This window comes from Homo sapiens, chromosome 1 (assembly GCF_000001405.40).
Source record: "Homo sapiens chromosome 1, GRCh38.p14 Primary Assembly".
Taxonomy (NCBI): Eukaryota; Metazoa; Chordata; class Mammalia; order Primates; family Hominidae; genus Homo; species Homo sapiens.
In genome coordinates this window covers 62,433,707-62,451,934 of record NC_000001.11, presented here as the reverse complement: position 1 = coordinate 62,451,934, position 18,228 = coordinate 62,433,707, and the positions used below count along the sequence as shown (strand labels likewise).

Below are 18,228 nucleotides of genomic sequence, written 5' to 3'. Positions count from 1 at the left end.
CAGCTTGGCTGGACTAAGCACAATTTCTCCTCTTTGAAAAACTCCTGCACTGTCAGAAAGTATTCAGTAATAAAGGTAATTATGCATGCTTATTCTCTCATATATATACATATATATATACACACACTTATTCGCTTTAAGAAAACTCAGCTGTATTTATAAAAATATACAAGTAAAAAATTCAAATATTCATATACATAGTTAAGCAGTTTAAATTTTATTGACCTCCCAGTTTTTAAAAAAAGTTAAATTTAAGGTCACACCTCTAAGTTTGATGTACTATATACAGATCGTGCAGAATATGAGTTAAACAGATACAAATTAGTCCATGCCCAAAAAGATATACTAGGGTACAGAATCATCTTCATAAATACATATAAAATTCTTGTGTAGAAGCGAACTGTCCAGGTTTTCTGAGACACTTCTAAGTGAATCAAGGCACAAAATGTACATACACCATTGTGAATACACACATTCTAGACTTTGTGCCTCTGACATAGCCCAAGGATTTAGCTTCATGACTCTTATAAAACTAAATGTACTGAATGAGATTCTGCTTCTTGGGTGAAAAACCACAGGAACTATAAACATCATGTAGATAATTACTCCAAAATATGGAGAATACAAATACGAGCACTTTATTTTAAAAAGCAAACACAAAAGACTGGTGTAAATCCAAGTGTTTAAATGCCTCCGTTTTGGATAATTTAATTAAGAACCGATACAAGTTTGTTCCCAGAAGCTAATGCATCACTAGTCTCTACTGAGGAAAATGAGTTCTAAAAATTAACATGGTTTTCAGTAATTCAAATTTCACTATTTATATAAAAACCTAGAGAGACCAATAATATCCAGTAGCTTCAAAAGATAAGCTAAAGATTCTTTGATGTAATCAACTTTACCAATGTTTGTATGGGTGTGTTTAATATATACACAAGGAAAATACACTCACTCTATAATTTCTTATAAAATAGCAAGTAAGGAGTAGAAGTAGGAGATGTAGAAGGGGAAAGAGAATTCAGAAAGTCCTTCTCTTCAGTAACTTTGACTTCAGAATCATCAAAAAGCAACCACTTCCCCTCATACTCCTTTAAGCTTTGCACTACGTATGAAATTTTGTTCTCAAATCCACTAATATTAATGCCTGTTTGGTCACTGGATTCCTTGTTTCTATCAGATTCATGGGTCCCAGTAGTATCACTAGTCTCAGAATTTCTATTTTCAGCAAACGCTGTACTAGCAACCTTATCAGGATTAGAGGCTTTGTTGTATAGCTCATAATCTGCTTTGCTCTTTTGTCCTCCAAGAAGTCCAATAGCTTCTACATTTTTTTTGTTCAAAACTTTACTTGGCTGTGTATTTCCACCAACTCTAATTGACACTTCTTCATCATTATAATTCTCAACCACACCCCTTGCTTCCTCCTCATTCAATGGTTCTGGCTTACCTATTTCACACATTTGGTCAACCACAAAATTTCCTTTATCTAGTTCTAAACTGTTAAGGTCAGTGACTTTAACAGAAGCAGTGTAATGCCCACTACTAATTGTAATGCCACTATGCATCACAACCGCAAATAATCCATAGCTGTCGTTAGTTGGCTTTGTGCTCCATTCTTCTAGTGACAATTTAAGAGGTGTCAATAAAGGAGTGTTGATCTTGGAAAGTCCACCACCATAACAATCAAACCTTTGGGAGGAAAAAAAGAAAAGGTTTCCTGCAGTTCTATTTTAAATTCAAAATGTTATACCCCAATCTGAAACCAAGTAAAAATCTGAATGAACCCTTAATATCCAGTGTTCATATATCAGAAAAGCAGAATCAAAACAAGACCCCAACTTTGAATAATATTTATAATATATGCAGAAACAAAAAAATAAATAACTGCTAATATTCAGGCATTTCTGTGGAAGAAATAATTGTATTTTTTCCTTTATTTTCCTAATTTTGTGCAGTTAAGAAAATAAATGGTATTTTAAATAGACTGAACCGGAACCAAAAATGTTACGTTTTGGGTTTTTTTTTTTTTAAGGCAGGGTCTGTCACCCAGGCTGACTGCAGTGGTGCAATCATGGCTCCTTCTGGACTCAAGTGATCCTCCCACCTCAGGCTCCTCCTCCTCAGCCTCCTGAGTAGTTGGGACCACAAGTGCCCGCCACCACGCCAAACTAGTTTGTGTATTTTTTGTAGAGATAGGGTTTTGTCATGTTGCCCAGGCTGGTCTTGAACTCCTGGGTGCAAGCCATCCATCTCAGCCTCCCAAAGTGCTAGGATTACAGGTGTGAGCCACCCACGCCCAGCCCATTTTAGTCATTTTTAGTGTGAAGTTTTTCTCTACCAAAATTTGGGAAAGTAAATAAAATAGTATTTTATACTATTAGCAAAGGGAAGGTCCACTGAATAAGGGGCTATATGTTATCTTTTGACATAATCAAGTGTGAGAGAGCTACTGTGAAGCCCTCGTGGTAATTTCAAACAAGCAACTAATGTACAAAGGAGTCACACATACAATGACATTACACATGTCAGAAAAAAACAGACTATCCAAAACAATCAGCATTTTTTTTCAAACTGTTGAAAGACTAGTTTGATTTCCTGGCTTACCTTAAAACTAGGAAGAATTTAGCCTTTCCCGCCCCTTCAAAAAAATCTTGATGTATACAAAATTTGTTCCCTGCTTTAGTCAGTTCTACTGAATTCTGCTACTAACATCTAAGAGGGAATGAATATGAAAAGATGAATAAAGAAACTGGCCGGGCATGGTGGCTCACGCCTGTAATCCCAGCACTTTGTGAGGCTAAGGCAGGTGGATTGCTTGAGTCCAGAAGTTCAAGATCAGACTGGGCAACATGGTGAAATCCTGTCTCTACTAAAAATACAAAAAATTAGCTGGGCATGGTGGCATGCACCTGTAGTCCCAGCTACTCAGAAGGCTGAGGTGGGAGAACCACCTGAGCCTGGGAGGTCAAGACTGCAGTGAGCTGAGGCTGTGCCACTACACTCCAGCCTGGACAACTGGAATGAGACCCTGTTTCAAAAAAAAAAGGAGAAGAAATCATACTTAATAGAATATGTATTCATATCAAAAGGATTTAAGTTGTTTCATTTTTACAGGGAAACTGTTAATAAGAACAAAACTTTACTGAAGCAATCTTTACAATCTACTTCATTTCAGTACTTTATATTCCTACTATTACAGCATTTTGAACAAGACTTATCTTCTACAGCAGCTCATTTTCTTCATATAGTTCTTATTTACAATACTTACTCCAAACCACTAGCAGCAAAGCACTTCAAATGAATAGTTATAACTTCAGGCATTTTGTCAAACAAAAGACTTCGTTCAGCTTCAGTATAATGATGGCAGTTTTCACAGAAATATTTATCTTCTCCTACAATCCTTTCTACTGAAGCAAATTGTGAAATTGCCCATCTCAGGGTCTTCATTTCTGTTTTTGGCTCTGGAGAAACTAAAAAAGAGAATCCTTTCACTCAAATACTTCTCTCAGGCATTCAAAAAATAAACCACAAAGTTTCAGGTTCAAAATTAGCATTTAATTTCAATTGACCGACCCATTCCTAAATAACTAAAGAGATTTTTACTTTCAGAAACTACTTTCATAAGTGCATCCTCAACAGTATACATACCTTTTAAATATATTTGATCGGCCAAAAAATATGATAGACAGCAAAAACAAAATAAGCCTAGTCTGTTTACATTTAATTGCCAACTTTCAATATGTGATAGGTAAACCTGTCTCATGATTATTTCCTATGGTATTTCCATATTTTGTGGTATGCTCTAGACACAACAGTGGCTCAATTATTGTGTTAAAAACAACCTCAGTAGGCCAGGCGCGGTGGCTCACGCCTGTAATCCCAGCACTTTGGGAGGCCAAGGCGGGCGGATCACGAGGTCAGGAGATTGAGACCATCCTGGCTAACATGGTGAAACCCCGTCTCTACTAAAAATACAAAAAATTAGCCGGGCGTGGTGGTGGGCACCTGCAGTCCCAGCTACTCAGGAGGCTGAGGCAGGAGAATGGCATGAACCCAGAAGGCGGAGCTTGCAGTGAGCCGAGATCACGCCACTGCACTCCAGCCTGGGCAACCGAGCAAGACTCCATCTCAAAAAAATTAAAAAAAACCCTCAGTAGCTCTGAAAGACTCAGGTTCCCAAAAGTACACTTATTAAAGCATTTCAGTTTTCCATTCTAACACACTCTACATCAAAATCAAGATGTCACAATTTCCCAAATGCTAACCATTTATAAGTGAAGCCAGATAAGCAGAAAGGTTACATTAGACACTAAAAGCTAGCTTTTTTCCCCTCCCTAATTACACCAGCTACTATTAAACTTTGTGTTGTTAAAGAATTATAAATATTCCATCATGGTCCACACAAGACTCCAATTTTGCTTACTTTCAGAACTCTCCTCTACTTTGGAAAGCTCATCTTCTTGTACTGGCACACTGATGTCTTGAAAATCTTCTCTTCTTTCTGTTAAACTTTCACATTCCAAGCAACGCGTCCTTAATACCAGCTGACCTTGAAATAATTTCTCCACTAGCTCAAAACCAATTTGTTCTTCACCTAAAATGAAAATAGGAAAATGTAAGTCTATACAGATTAGTTTCTCATTATAGTCCAAATAACCAATTTTCCATTTAAATAAAGTATATCATGAATAACAGTTCCATTTTCATAGATCAGCTTATTAGCATTATTAGCTTATTAGAGGTACCCTATTAATGAAATTTAAGGTCCCTGTAAAGATAAAACTGACTATGAAATTACTGTCTTTAAAAGAAGTCAGTTGTAGGCCGGGCACAGTGGCTTAAGCCTGTAATCCCAAGACTTTGGGAGGCTGAGGCGGGCAGATCACCTGAGGTCGGAGTTCAAGACCAGCCTGACCAACATGGAGAAACCCTGTCTCCAGTAAAAATACAAAATTAGCCGGGTGTGGTGGTGCATGCCTGTAATCACAGCTACTCGGGAGGCTGAGGCAGGAGGATCGCTTGAACCCGGGAGGTGGAGGTTGCAGTGAGCCAAGATCATGCCATTGCACTCTAGCCTGGGCAACAAGAGCAAAACTCTGTCTCCAAAAAAATAAAAAAAATAAAAAATAAAAAAAAGTCAGTTGTATTGTAACTCCCTTCCTACAGACACCTCCCCATAGAATAAACCCAGAATAAGGATGACATTTTTGGTAAAACTATTCACTATATCAATATTACACATTTTCCCTGATATCTGTAGATCTGGACAAAACTAGGTAAAAATCTAGTTCAAGTATCGTGTAACTTACAGTTATGCACCACCTACCAACGTTTCAATTATTTAACAATGGACCGCATATGACAGTAGTCTATGATTATTTTTACTGTACCTATGTTTACATATCTATGCTTAGATACGTCTTAGATACACAAATACCATTGTGCTACAGTTGCCTACAGTATTCAGTAGTTATATGCTATACAGGTTTGTTGCCTAGGAGCAATAGGCCATGCAAAGCTTGCCTGTAGCCCGTAACAAATTCATAAACTTTCTTAAAACATTATGAGACTTTTTTGATTTTTTTTTTTTTGGCTCATCAGCTATCATTAGTGTATTCTGTGTGGTGTGGCCCAAGACACTTCTTCCAGTGTGGCCCAAGGAAGCCAAAAGATTAGATACCCTGGTCTATACCATATAGGCTAGTTGTGTAGTACGCTCTAGCATCTAGTTGTGTAAGTACACCGTGAAATTCACACAATGAAACAGCACATTTCTCAGAACATATCCCTGTTGTTAAGCAACACATGACTGTACTTAGTCTTTACTTTTAAAATTTCACTAAATGCAATGTCCTTCATCAGTTTATGTCAAACACTGCATAAAGGGAAATGTACTCTTAAATGTACATTAAAATATACTGAACTTCCCTACTTTATTATTATTTGTTTTTTTTTGAGACGGAGTCTTGCTCTGTCGCCCCAGGCTGGAGTGCAGTGGCATAATATTGGCTCACTGCAACCTCCACCTCCCGGGTTCAGGCGATTCTCCTGCCTCAGCCTCTCAAGTAGCTGGGACTACAGGCGTGCGCCACCATGCCTGGCTAATTTTTGCATTTTTAGTAGAGACGGGGTTTCACCATGTTGACCAGGCTGCTCTTGAACTCCTGACCGCAGGTGATCTGCCCGCCTAGGCCTCCCAAAGTACTGGGATTGCAGGTGCGAGCTAACATACCTGGCCGAACTTCCCTACTTTATAAGCTATAAATTAAAATTACTTTAATGACATTACACACACACACACACACATATATATGCATACAATATATACACACACACTAATCTAAGCATAGCACTTAAAACACCATAGTTCACATTCAGTGTTAAATTTCCTTCTCTTGAAACAATTTTAGCCAGAGATTATATTGTACATGTATCTAGGAAGAGAAAATTCTAATTCTGTAGCTGCTAATGCTTCTACCTATCAAAGTCTAAGAATTATACTAACCTTTGTTTATGGGTTTAACTTCATTAACATTTACAGGTGTAACAGTATTTCCTGGAGATTCAAGTCCACAACCATTAGTTGTGTTATCACTTTCACACTTCCCCAAGTCCTCTTCAGGATCACATTCATTTTCTTTAGATTGTCCTTTGACTCCTTGGTTTGTTGTTATTTTTCCCAGACTACAAAATTTAGAAAGAATGCTGGGTTGCTTAGTTGCAGACTTTAACCAATTTATTTTAACTCTTGATTTCTTTTGTGAGGGTCTTGGACTCTCATTTTCAGAAATATACTTGGGAATTATTTTAGGAGGACTCTCTAATGTATCACTTGTAGCTTTTCTTTTTGATCTAGTTTGTCTCTGGTTCTCTTCCAATGACTGGTGTTCCTTGGATAATTTAACTTTTTTCTTCATGTTACCAAATTCAGTGTCACTTTTTCTTTTCCCATTTCCTTTTGGGAGTTTCTCTTTAAAGTCTTCAGAATGCCTCATACTGTCCATCTCTATGCTGTTAATACCATTCATTTCCTCTTTCGGATGAGGTATTTCTTCTACCTTAGTAGGTAATTCTGCCACATTTTTTACTTCTTCTTTTTTTAGGAGTTGGCATGTTTCTTGAATGTTTCCCAAAATACATTGTAATACTTCCTGTGCATCATGCTGTAGATATCCTTCATACATAGGGTTGAGTTCCCTATAAATAAAAATTTCCATTTCATCTATTCTAGTTTTGAAGATACAGTACATAAAGCCTATATAGAAATTAATTCATGTAAGGAAAATCATAAATTATTTCATTTTTTAAATGTCAAGACATTTATTCAGCACTAATTTGGAATTTCTTATCTGTAACTAAAAGTAAGAGTAAATTGTACCCTATTTTCATTATAATACTTTGATCCTCTTCTAAATATATTAATAACTAATACTTAGATAATGCTTACCATACACCAGGTTTTAGTCAAAATGTTTTTTATCTCCTATGTATACATTATCTTCACAATAACCCTATGAGGTACTATTATCACCATTACTGACAGATACAAGCACTAAGGCACAGACAGGTTAAATAACTTGCCCAAGGTCACAGAACTACTTAGGATGAAAAGCCAGTATTCAAACCCGCTCTTGGCCACCACGCTACAATGGCCTTTTTTTTTTTTTTTTTTTTGGAGACAAGGGTCTTGATCTGTTGCCCAGACTGGACTGCAATGGCGCAATCTTGGCTCACTGCAACCGCCGCCTCCCGGGTTCAAGCGATTCTCCTGCCTCAGTCTCCCGAGTAGGTGGGACTACAGGTGCAAACCACCACACCCAGCTAATTTTTGTATTTTTAGTAGGGGCAGGGTTTCACCATGTTGGCCACACTGGTCTTGAACTCCTGACCTCAAATGACCCACCTACCTTCACCTCCCAAAGTGCTGGGATTACAAGTGTGAGCTGTGACCGGCCTACAATACCTCTTAACTAAGGTATAGCAATATATTGCACCTAGTTCTATTTTTAAACTAAATGCTTAAGTGATTGTTTTAAAGACTTGCCCTATAATTGTATTTGAATAAGGCTATTTTATATGTAAAGTTTCATTTTTAAGAAAATACCAAAAAGCAATCTAATCCAGTTAGCCAACAGTTCTCCTCTAATCACATATAAAAATAGAATATTTGGAATTTACAGTTCTTACACATATTTTGAATATAGTCCTATAATTCTTAATGTGAAATCCTTAGGACCACGCATTTAGAAATTCAGACATTTTCAGATTCAATGATTATATGGCATATAAGTAAAATATTTATCACCGACTTGATATGGGAGTACTCTATAACTAAACACATTACTACTTCTATAGAAGCATGTATGAATATTCACGTTAGAGATAAATATGAATGACTATAAAAAGCCTCATATAATATGTTCAGATCTAACGAATTTAGCACCAAATTTATGAAAAAAATTTCCAGTATTCAGAGTCTCTGGGATATAAAGGACTGTGGACCTAGAGTTTCTACTTTCCTTGCCCTTTATTCCTGTTTCTTCGCATGTCATTCTCCTCCAAGGATATAAACAAGTAGCTAAATTGAAACCCTAAAATTATATTATAGGCTATACCTCAGTGTGTTAAGCAGTCGCCTTGGCTGAGTGGCAAGTTCATCAGTATATTTCTCTGGATTTAAGAGAAAACTAGCCTGGAGCTGTTCAACCGAAATGATTAAGGACTGTAAACTGCATATCAATTCATAACTTGCCAAAGAATCTTCTTTGCAATTTCCCTGTCAAGAAAGAAACACACAAACCAATAATTTTATGAACAAATTAAGTACCTTCCCCCTTTGTCTTTGTCTCACTTAAGAATACTAGATTTTCTAAGTTGCATAATAGCACTAATTTTAAGGGATGTACAAATAAGCCTTATTTTTTATTTTTTTATTTTGAGACAGGGTCTCTGTCGCCCAGGCTGGAGTGCAGTGGCTTGATCGCGGCTCACTGGAGCCTCAACCTCCTGGGCTCAAGCAATCCTCCACCTCAGCCTCCCAATTAGCTGGAACTACAGGCTCACACCATGACGCCCTACTAGTTTTTGTATTTTTAGTAAAGACAGGGTCTTGCCATGTTACCCAGGCTGGTCTCAAACTCTTGCGCTCAAGCAATCCACCACCCACCTTGACCTCCCAAACTGCTGGGATTACAGGCATGAGCCACCACGTCTGGTCTTTTTTGTAATTTTAAGAGGAATTATGAATTACTATTTATGTGAATTACAATGGTTTTTTAATTATGGAAGTTAAAGATTTCTTTAAATACACTGTATTTAAATTTTAACTCAATTTGAAAACACAATGGGTAAATAAGTTGTACATGGGTATAACATATTGTGATTATAGTATACAGTAATATATAGTATACAAGTAACAAAAGTTTGATACACAGATTACAGGAGCAAACATTGTAAAAGGGAATTATCTAGTTAGCCACCTTGAAAGAATGAAAAATAATTGCCTGACAATAGCTCGCTAACAGAGAAATAATCTTTGTCATCCACCCCCCCAGTCCTCTTCATTTCCAGGCAAGTAAATTTCCATTAATTTACTTTTGCTTTTTACATTATTTTCTGTTCTTTATTTTTCTTACCTTGTCTTTTTGATTGGCTTCATCCTTTAGAGCTTCTTTCTTCCTTGAAATAATATTAAATAAGTGCTTTACTCCAGATTTAAAACCGGGACAAAAATATAATACCTATAAAAAGTGAGATTGTCTTAAGTGTTTACTGAACAAACAATACACGTAAAATCATTAAAACAACATCATGCTTTCTATAGAGCACTTTTAACATGTATTACCCTAAAATTCTGAGATTAAGTTTTGTGTCAAAATTTGTTCTCCACTTCATCAGTAGTAGCCCAGTGTCTTCCCTCATTAGCACAAAGCACTGCACCTGGGCAGATATTGCTAAGACTTTAAGGTTACAAGGACACACAACACAGCGCCAACGGACACACAACACAATGCCAACGTTACTTCCAAGGGATAAGACATATATCACACTGTAGCACCAGGAATCAGAGAAAGAAATTAAAGGTTTGACCTTCCACTTAAGGTCTACTCAATTTTGCTATCCCACCTTTATTTAGTCTATCATTTTCTCTTACCCCAAAGGAAGTTTAATAACATGTAACTTATTATTTTAGCCTATTCTGGTTTATTAACAATCAAAGGCAAAGACAGTATGGACATTAAAGTCCTCCAATAACTCAAAAACATTAAATGCTACATCAATCTTTGCCTACTAAAGCTTTATGATATAGCAAAATTGTCAATTTACCTGAAGTATACTATTAAGATAGCAAGTATTGCCGAGATTATTCAGTCCCACAAATGGTAACAAGTTTTCTCTCTTCTCACAGTTTATAGGTGAAGACTGTGCTGCAGGAACAACTTGATCACTATGAAATATAGAAGGGAGAACGATAAGTAGTTATCTTAAAGAAACAAGGTGAAAATATTACTTCTGTAGATTTAGTCTTTTCCCAAAAGTTGTATAATCTGAAAAGTATGTGAATCTTGTTCAGATGACATTTTAAGAAATACAGGCTCAAAAATTGCTATATGCCCAGAATAAAAGTTTTAAAAGCATTTAAAAACATTATTACACATAACAAGCCACAGAACAATTCCCTTAAAAGGATGTTAATCCTATTTTACAGAGTAGAAAATTGAGGAACTGAGAGACTATGATTTGTTTCATCTACTTTGACATTTTAATCAAATAGTTTAACTGAACAGAAACCTGGGAATAAACTAACCATGACAATATTTGGGAGAGGCTGCACTAAGTAAGATTCTATTAATAAGAATTCAGAGGAAAGAAAGTCTGTGAAGAGAATTATATATGACTTCCTGCTGGTAAAAAAAAAAAAAATATGTAGCTATCCCTCACTTAAAAATAAAATGTTCAGAATGTGGGTGTGGGGGCATTGACATGTAATTCCAGCTACTTGGGAGGACTGCTCGAGCCCAGGAATTCAAGACCAGCCTGGGCAACACAAGGAGACCCCATCTCAAAACACAAATGCTTTAAGTTTACTATTCTTTTACTTCTTTAACAACAACAACAAAAAAACCACTAGGTCCTTCCAATATTTTCATTTATTTTACGATTGCTAGCTATTATTACTCTAGCACCTCAAAGTATTCAGAAGTATGAATGCTGATAAACAAAAGCTTCACTCTCACAAATCTCCTCAACTGGTTATTGATAGCTATTAGGAAATTAACACATGGGACCAAATCCACCTTAGTCACCCAGCAGAGTGCCTATATGTTAAACAGGGAGTAGTACAGACTCCAGCTAGAGCTGCTGGTGGTGGAATAAAGTATTCCACTTTGTTCTGATTTATTTTCTGTAGCTAAATAATTTATTTGCATCAAAAGCATTACTTAAAGTTTATTTTTATAATTTGCAATCATATGCCTCCAACAGGTATGACTAGTTACATGACTAGAGTTTAAAATGTCTTATAACTGTCAAGTCTTCTGAACCAAACAAATATATATATATATATATATAAAACCTTTTACCCCTACACAGATGTTTTGCACTACAAATAATCAAATTTAAACTCAGAAAGACAATTTTAGTCAACAAATATTTCTCCAAGTTAGTCTAAATGGCTGAGCACAGTGTTAACATGAGTTAAACATTATCGATGTGATTCCTACGGGGAACCACCAGTTTTGCTGTTCCTACTATAAACTGCTAGATTTGACTAAGAAGTACACTGAAGCGTACTTTTTTGTGCCGCTACAGACTATCAAGTCAGACTGGAGTTGTCAACCAAGTTCACTGCTGCTTTACTGTAGAATTTTTAAAGTACAGAAATGTAAGATACATACATTTCAGATGCTCTATATTCAGAAGCTTTTTCTTCATTTTCTTGAGAATCTGTGAAATCCAAAGCTCTCTTAGTTTCCTTTTTCTGAAAAAACTTTAAGGAAAGTCTGTTTTTCTTTGAAGGGCTACCTCTTGAAAGTCCATTACTTTCACTAGGTATGACACCAGGCATTTTTTTCTTCAAATCCCAAGGAGTGTCAAGAGTTAATTTATAGAGGAAAGTTGTAATCACCAATTATATCTGTTAATCACAGAGAAAGTTTCATTAGTTTTTGGTTATCAGTTTTGGCAACAAAATCATCAATTTTGAAAACAAATTTACCAAGGGAATGGTACAAATTAGAAATTAACATTTGAAAACCTAATGCCTGCCAATAAGCACTCAATATTTATTGCTTAAATGAAGAAGCATACCACACTGTTCTTAAAGAACAAAAAACAGAAGCTACTGAATTTTTAAAATCAGCCTGCTATGGATTAAGGGTCGCATTACAAAATATCCTATTTAGTAGACCTACAGTAAAATAGTATAAGTAGTAAAAACTTATTATTTCAAGGGCCGGAAGCGATAGCTCACGCCTGTAATCCCAGCACTTTGGGAGGCCGAAGCGAGTGGATCACGAGGTCAGGAGTTCGAGACCAGCCTGACCAACATGGTGAAACCCCATCTCTACTAAAAATACAAAAATTAGCCGGGCGTGCTGGCGGGCGCCTGTAATCCCAGCTACTCAGGAGGCTGAGACAGGAGAATCCCTTGAATCCGGGAGGCGGAGGCTGCAGTGAGCCGAGATCGTGCCATTGCACTCCAGCCTGGGCCATAGAGCAAGACTTAGTCTCAAAAAAAAAACAACTTAATATTTCATTATAATGATTCATTCAGAAAATATTGACTGAGCACTACCACCTCTAATTCTCAAGTACAAGGTAGGAAAGGATGAATGGAAAATCAAAGTAGTGCTGGACGATGAGTCCTCTCTTCCAATGCCTTTTCTAGTTATTAACATGGATATATGAAAATAAAGTACCTAAAAAGCTTATTAAAGAATAATTTGCATTCAAGGCATAGAGATGGTGTTAAGTTATACCTAAAACCGTAAGTGAAAGATAAAACACAAGCAAAGTTGAGACCGTGATAAAAAAAACTGTTCGATGCACTTTGTGTAAATCCAATTCTTAATGCACTAGAAACCACAATACTCGTTTTCCAAACTTTTTAAAAAACTTTGGATTTTAAAAATAGTGCTTTGAGTAGGAAAAAAAGATGATTTGGTTTGCCATTTGCAACTTTCCCACCCTGTTTTAAAGTAAAACTTGCACGTGAAAAAAAATGGCAACATTTGTAGGAGTGTAGGAGTTAATATTTTCTACATCAGGCCTATTTTTCAGGACATGGGAGGAAAAATTATCTGACTAGAGTATTACCATAAAATTACTTAAAGCCCAAAACTTCAGCAACGAGTTTCAAATTTAAAATGCAGAGTAATAAAATGAACTACACAAGACTCACTCAAATTTCATCCTTAATAAGCATTTCACATGGCTGACACTGATCTAGGAATTCATACTGAACTCAGCACACTGAAACCATTTCTGAGACCCAAATCAGGAAGCACTGGAAAGCTGATCCATCTCTCCATTCTGTCTCCAACTTCACTTACTCTCCTGTCTACCTAATGCTTCTGAGGAAGCGCTGTCTTCTGAATGATAAACCAACCTGCGCTAAGTTCTCAGGGATCGCCAAGCATTAATGATTCTGATAAAAGGTTTTTCTCGAGAGCCAATTTAATGGATGACAGAAACTGGATCTCAAACCGACAGAGTAACCAGACTACACAGAAGGGAAGAATGATTAGGCAGGTGAAATAGCGGATCGTCAGCTTAATCAAAAAACCAAACCTCCTAGCCCCTCAAAGCAAAGCTCACACCGAGAATGTAACATTTTGCCAGGTGCAGTATCTTCCTTGCTATTTCTTGCTCCTGGCTTTCCTTGTAACTGGGGGGCTGTTACATCCAAAATATTTCTCCTGTAACTAAATCAACTTTCGCAGAAAGCACGACGAATCGACCATTATCTGTTGACAGCGTGAACACTCAGTCCCAATAGTTTTAAATTCTTTATAAGATGACACGACTCGATTCCGATTTTTCAACAAAAATCTACAAGGACATCTTCGCCAAGGTTTAAGACACGCGGCGTTCTAAACACTTCTTGAAAAAGTGTAAGTGAAAGAAAATGCGCGGTAAAATTTCGCAATTACCGACACAGGGCAACCTGCGTGGAAACGTTTCTTTCTCCCCATCCTTCACCGCTCTCGGGAACGGAAAGAAAGCTGGAAGGACGAGCAGCGACCAGGCTGCCCGGTCGGGGGAGGCTGGCGGCGGCGTCCTCGGCCCACACCCCCGCGCCGGGCGCCCTCGCCGCGGAGTTGGCCTATTTACGCCCAGCCCGCACCTGCCTTCTCGCGTCCCGGCGGCGGCAAGACAGGCGCCACGCCCGAGGCACACACGGCTCCCCCTGGCAGGTCGACCAGGGTGCGAGGCCAACACGGTCCCGGGGTCTCCCCGGCAGCTCCTCTCCCGCGCCGGCCGAACTTGCCCCCGCGCCCGGGAGCCGGCCCCTCCTCCCAGGCCCTCCTTACCTGGTCATGGCCCAAAGCGAAGTCCGCGGCGGTGACGCCGGCAAGTCCAACCCGAATGAGTGTGGGTGCGACAGGTGAGTCCCTGCCCCGAGCCCGCCGGGTCCCCGGCCCCAGGAAAATCTGGTCGGCTCGCCCTCCCCGCGGGGGAGTGACCATCCGCTCCCAAGAGCGGGAACCCCGACCGCCGCTCGCTCCCGTCTTGCACCAACACCAACTACATCCCGGGAGCGGCGCCCATCTGCGCCCGCCCCGGGAGAGCCAGGAGCGCAACAAGCAGCGGCCCCGCTCGCCGAACGCCTGAACCGCTAGGGTCTTTAGCACTCCGCCACCGAGGGGAACTTGGCGCGTTTTCCTCAGTCTCAGGACCCCCGTGTTTTAGCCTCCGCCCGCGCCAGCGCTGCGATTGAACGTGGCGTCCTTTGAAATTGCCGGTTCCAGTCTCCACGCTGCAGAGACACGAAAGGCAGGAGCCGTCTCGCGACGGCCACTCGCCCCTGGCACGCACGGGCTCCGGAGCCAGCTGGGACTGTAGTTCCCCAAAAGCCTAACGGGTTCCACAGTTTCAAACAACGCAGGCACAGAGCCGGGCAGCTCGTGCGGGTCCTCGCTGAGGGCGCGCGCGAGGTGCTAGCGGCCTGGCTGGCGGGCTCGAGCCTCACACCCTTTTTTTAACCATTCGTGCGCGCGAGTTGAGGGAAAAGCGTACGGGTCGGGAGACGGGACAGAGAGCAGACGGGATGGGCCACCACCTCGAGAAGGAGCCCAAATTCACCAATCCATGATGAACAATCCCCAAAACCGCGCCTCCCACCGCCCGGGGGAAGCCAATCAGAAGTACCTAGACCAAAGCCAATTAGATGGGCGGGAGCAGCAAGCCCATCTAATAGCAAAAAAGAAGAAAGGTGGGCTCCAGCCAATCATTGTTCGACATACGGAGTGTTCCTCAGGCGCGGTGCCCCTCCTTCCGCTCTCATTGGCGCTCGAGTGCGCGCTTTCGCTGCCGACTGTTAAAATCTTGTTTGGCGTTTTGTTAATCCTCGACGGTGGGACGCCGCGGAGGGTGCGGCTTCCGGAGCGAGGCCCTCGCGGTAAGCCCCGCCTCCGTTCGTGCGTACGCGCCCGGGCGGGGTTACCAAGAGAGCAGCTTCGGAAAATGGCTGCCCGGCTGGACGCCGCCGCGCTTGGGCTTTCAGTTCGGAGTCGCGGCCACACTAGGCCTAGGGCCATCCAATGAGACAAGGCGCTGCCACGGATAACAATACATGCTCAGGCGAATGCTGTAGAGCTGAGGCCCGGTCCTCAGCCCCTGCTCGCCTCATTTTCGCCTGTTTACCTCTTCCCTTTCTCGGCCGCAGGAGGAAACGAAAGAACAGTTTCAGGCCCAGCTCCGGCCGCGGGAGCTTCCCAGGGTTCCCGCGCGAGCCCTCCCAAAGGGTTCAGGAGCGGCAGGCAGGCCTCATCTGGTTGTGTGCTTCCTTTTGTGTTTGTGTGCCTGCTTTGGTGAGGTGACCTCAGCTCAAGTGCTGCAGTTAAGCAGGATACGTTCAGCCCAAATCCATTTAATCAAGTATTTTTAAGGTGCCTACTATGTGCCAGGCATTTTTCAAGGCGCGAGGGATGTAAAGGCATTCCCTGTCATAAAGGAGCATTACATTCTGGAGAGGGAGATACAAGTGACGCTAAGATAAGTGATAGATACGATAGCCTGGAAAGACCTCTTTGAGTTGACATTTGAGCAGAGCTGAATGAAAAAGCTTGGAGGAATCTGAGGGAAGAATGGTGCGGGCAGAGAGAACAGCAAGTTACAAACGTCCTGAAGCTTAATGTGGTTGGTGTTTTGAAAAGAAGCAAGGAGGCCAGGGCGCTTAGAGCGCAGTCAATTTGGGAAATAAGATGGGAGGAGATGAGATGAGTGAGAAAGGCAGGACCCTGGGTAAGCCGAGTAAGGAGATGGGAGTCGTTAGATGATTCTGAGCTGGGGAGTGGCGGGATTACACGTTGACCTTCAAGAGTACAAGCAGGGTCGGGCGTGGTGGCTCACGCTTGTAATCCCAGCACGTTGGGAGGCCAAGGCGGGCTGATCTCTTGAGGTCGGGAATTCGAGACCAGCCTGACCAACATGGAGAAACCCCGTCCCTACTAAAAATACAAAATTAGCCGGGCGTGGTGGCGCAGGCCTGTAATCCCAGCTACTCCGGAGGCTGAGGCAGGAGAATCGCTTGAACCCAGGAGGCGGAGGTTGCGGTGAGCCGAGATCGCCTCACTGCACTCCAGCCTGGGCAACCAGAGCAAAACTCTGTCTCAAAAAAAGAAAAGTACCAGCGGAAAGGTCAGCCAAGATGCTGGTTCAATAAGCCAAGGAATAAATTATGGTAGTCTGGAATAAGATGGTGGGATGTTGAAAACTGGTAGGGTTCAAGATATATTTTGAGCACAGCCAACGAGCTCTACTGATGGATTGGCTGTATGATAATGTAAGAAAAAACAGGTCGGGTAGCCAGGGCCGGTGGACCGCTTGAACCCAGGAGTTCAAGATCAGCCTGGGCAACATGGCAAGACCCATCGCTACAAAAAACTCCAAAAATTGGCCGTGCGTGGTGGCACGTGCCTGTAGTCCCAGCCACTCGGGAGGATGAGGGAGGAGGATCCCCTGGCTGCAGTGAGCCGAGATGCACCACTGCACTCCAGCCTGGGCAACAGTGTGAGGCCCTGCCCTCCACCCTCCCACCCGAAAAAAGAAAAAAAAACAAAGAGTAACGATTTTTTTTTTAACCTGAGCAACTCAGTGTTGGTCCTTGCTAAAATGGGGGTCTTAGTAGGCTCAATGGGAAGGATCATCGTTCTTAGAATATTAAGATTGAGGTGTTTAACGTACAAACAGATGTTGAACCAGCAGATCACGAAATACACAAGGACAAGATTAGAAAATGTATATAGGTCAGTCTTAGCCATTGTGCACCACAGAGTGGCAGTGTCTCATTTTCTAGTACTAGCATAATTATTGCTACTTTCAAACTCTACGAGAACAGATAAGCAATTCTACTTTCCCATATTCCTGAGATCCTATTGTCTGCAGCCACTATTCTTCCTGTACACAATGTGTGGTATCAGTTAAGATTCATTTGCGGAAAATAGAATCCATTTTAGCTAGTATAAACACAAAGATATTGAATACTTGGGAGGGTTGATTAAATAGGCTCTAGATTAGTTTTTCAGGAATGAGTCCCAAAGTCTTCCCAGAACCAGGCCACCAAGGAAGCAATGACTCTTCTATGATCAGGAAATGACGTCTCTGAATCACACTGCTGCTGCCATGCCTAGGAAACCACCATCAGAAAGCTGCGTGCACCGCTGACCCTAGAACCACACTATACCCACTATGATCTGCACCAGTGCCATGCATATCCTACGTCCCGTCTGTCAAGGCCCACAGGACAAGTGGCTAGACACTGAGGTTTCTGCTAATGCTGCTTCAGAAAAATCAAACACCTCCACAACTGTGCTTGTCAACAGCAATAGCAGAAGTTTGGTGTGTCTCTGGCAATATGATTAATGTAAAAATTTAATATGCTTCTCATTCTTTTGCTTTCAGTCAGTTGTTTGTGGGAGAAATTCTAGCCACAGTTCTTGCCTAGATGAGTTTTTAAGCCCCGAAACTTTTTTCCCAGTTTCTGTGTGCTCCCCAGTTACCCCA

General features: G+C 40.8%; 1 protein-coding gene across 3 annotated transcripts, besides 7 other annotated features; it reads right to left on the bottom strand.

Moving 5' to 3' along the window:
* Nucleotides 1–130: 130 nt before the first annotated feature.
* USP1 (ubiquitin specific peptidase 1) lies at nucleotides 131–15,540 on the bottom strand. Of its 3 annotated transcripts, none has more exons than NM_001017415.2 (9): nucleotides 15,373–15,540; nucleotides 11,898–12,136; nucleotides 10,327–10,447; nucleotides 9,636–9,740; nucleotides 8,616–8,776; nucleotides 6,506–7,197; nucleotides 4,424–4,594; nucleotides 3,269–3,470; nucleotides 131–1,689 (listed from the first exon to the last, which is right to left on the bottom strand). In NM_001017415.2, the coding sequence occupies exons 2-9, from the start codon at nucleotides 12,065–12,067 to the stop codon at nucleotides 954–956; spliced, it is 2,358 nt and encodes a 785-aa protein (NP_001017415.1). In that variant the 5' UTR covers nucleotides 12,068–12,136; nucleotides 15,373–15,540; the 3' UTR covers nucleotides 131–953. The 3 variants fall into 3 exon arrangements, with proteins under 3 accessions (NP_001017415.1, NP_001017416.1, NP_003359.3); NM_001017416.2 differs by having other exon boundaries at nucleotides 15,468–15,540; NM_003368.5 differs by lacking the exon at nucleotides 15,373–15,540 and adding an exon at nucleotides 14,535–14,886.
* Nucleotides 11,837–11,896: an enhancer, noted in NCBI's record as "active region_1118". NCBI's record gives its function as "activates an Ori minimal core promoter by ATAC-STARR-seq in GM12878 lymphoblastoid cells {active_cell/tissue: GM12878}" and the evidence as "EXISTENCE:reporter gene assay evidence [ECO:0000049][PMID:35858748]".
* Nucleotides 14,230–14,289: a silencer, noted in NCBI's record as "silent region_945". NCBI's record gives its function as "represses an Ori minimal core promoter by ATAC-STARR-seq in GM12878 lymphoblastoid cells {active_cell/tissue: GM12878}" and the evidence as "EXISTENCE:reporter gene assay evidence [ECO:0000049][PMID:35858748]".
* Nucleotides 14,884–15,651: an enhancer, noted in NCBI's record as "NANOG-H3K27ac-H3K4me1 hESC enhancer chr1:62901955-62902722 (GRCh37/hg19 assembly coordinates)". NCBI's record gives its function as "activates a minimal SCP1, AML or CMV promoter by ChIP-STARR-seq in naive and primed H9 embryonic stem cells {active_cell/tissue: H9 hESC(naive and primed)}" and the evidence as "EXISTENCE:reporter gene assay evidence [ECO:0000049][PMID:30033119]".
* Nucleotides 14,990–15,059: an enhancer, noted in NCBI's record as "active region_1117". NCBI's record gives its function as "activates an Ori minimal core promoter by ATAC-STARR-seq in GM12878 lymphoblastoid cells {active_cell/tissue: GM12878}" and the evidence as "EXISTENCE:reporter gene assay evidence [ECO:0000049][PMID:35858748]".
* Nucleotides 15,620–15,969: an enhancer, noted in NCBI's record as "active region_1116". NCBI's record gives its function as "activates an Ori minimal core promoter by ATAC-STARR-seq in GM12878 lymphoblastoid cells {active_cell/tissue: GM12878}" and the evidence as "EXISTENCE:reporter gene assay evidence [ECO:0000049][PMID:35858748]".
* Nucleotides 15,620–16,419: a biological region, named in NCBI's record as "NANOG-H3K27ac-H3K4me1 hESC enhancer GRCh37_chr1:62901187-62901954".
* Nucleotides 15,652–16,419: an enhancer, noted in NCBI's record as "NANOG-H3K27ac-H3K4me1 hESC enhancer chr1:62901187-62901954 (GRCh37/hg19 assembly coordinates)". NCBI's record gives its function as "activates a minimal SCP1, AML or CMV promoter by ChIP-STARR-seq in naive H9 embryonic stem cells {active_cell/tissue: H9 hESC(naive)}" and the evidence as "EXISTENCE:reporter gene assay evidence [ECO:0000049][PMID:30033119]".

What these genes read in the sequence shown, in the direction of transcription:
- USP1 (NM_001017415.2), bottom strand. Translation starts at nt 12,067, where the DNA reads ATGCCTGGTGTCATACCTAGTGAAAGTAATGGACTTTCAAGAGGTAGC. An exon ending in GAATATAGAGCATCTGAAAT is followed by an intron (nt 10,448 to 11,897) that starts GTATGTATCTTA and finishes TATATTTCATAG; the next exon opens with TGATCAAGTTGTTCCTGCAG. An exon ending in ATCTTAATAGTATACTTCAG is followed by an intron (nt 9,741 to 10,326) that starts GTAAATTGACAA and finishes CACTTTTTATAG; the next exon opens with GTATTATATTTTTGTCCCGG.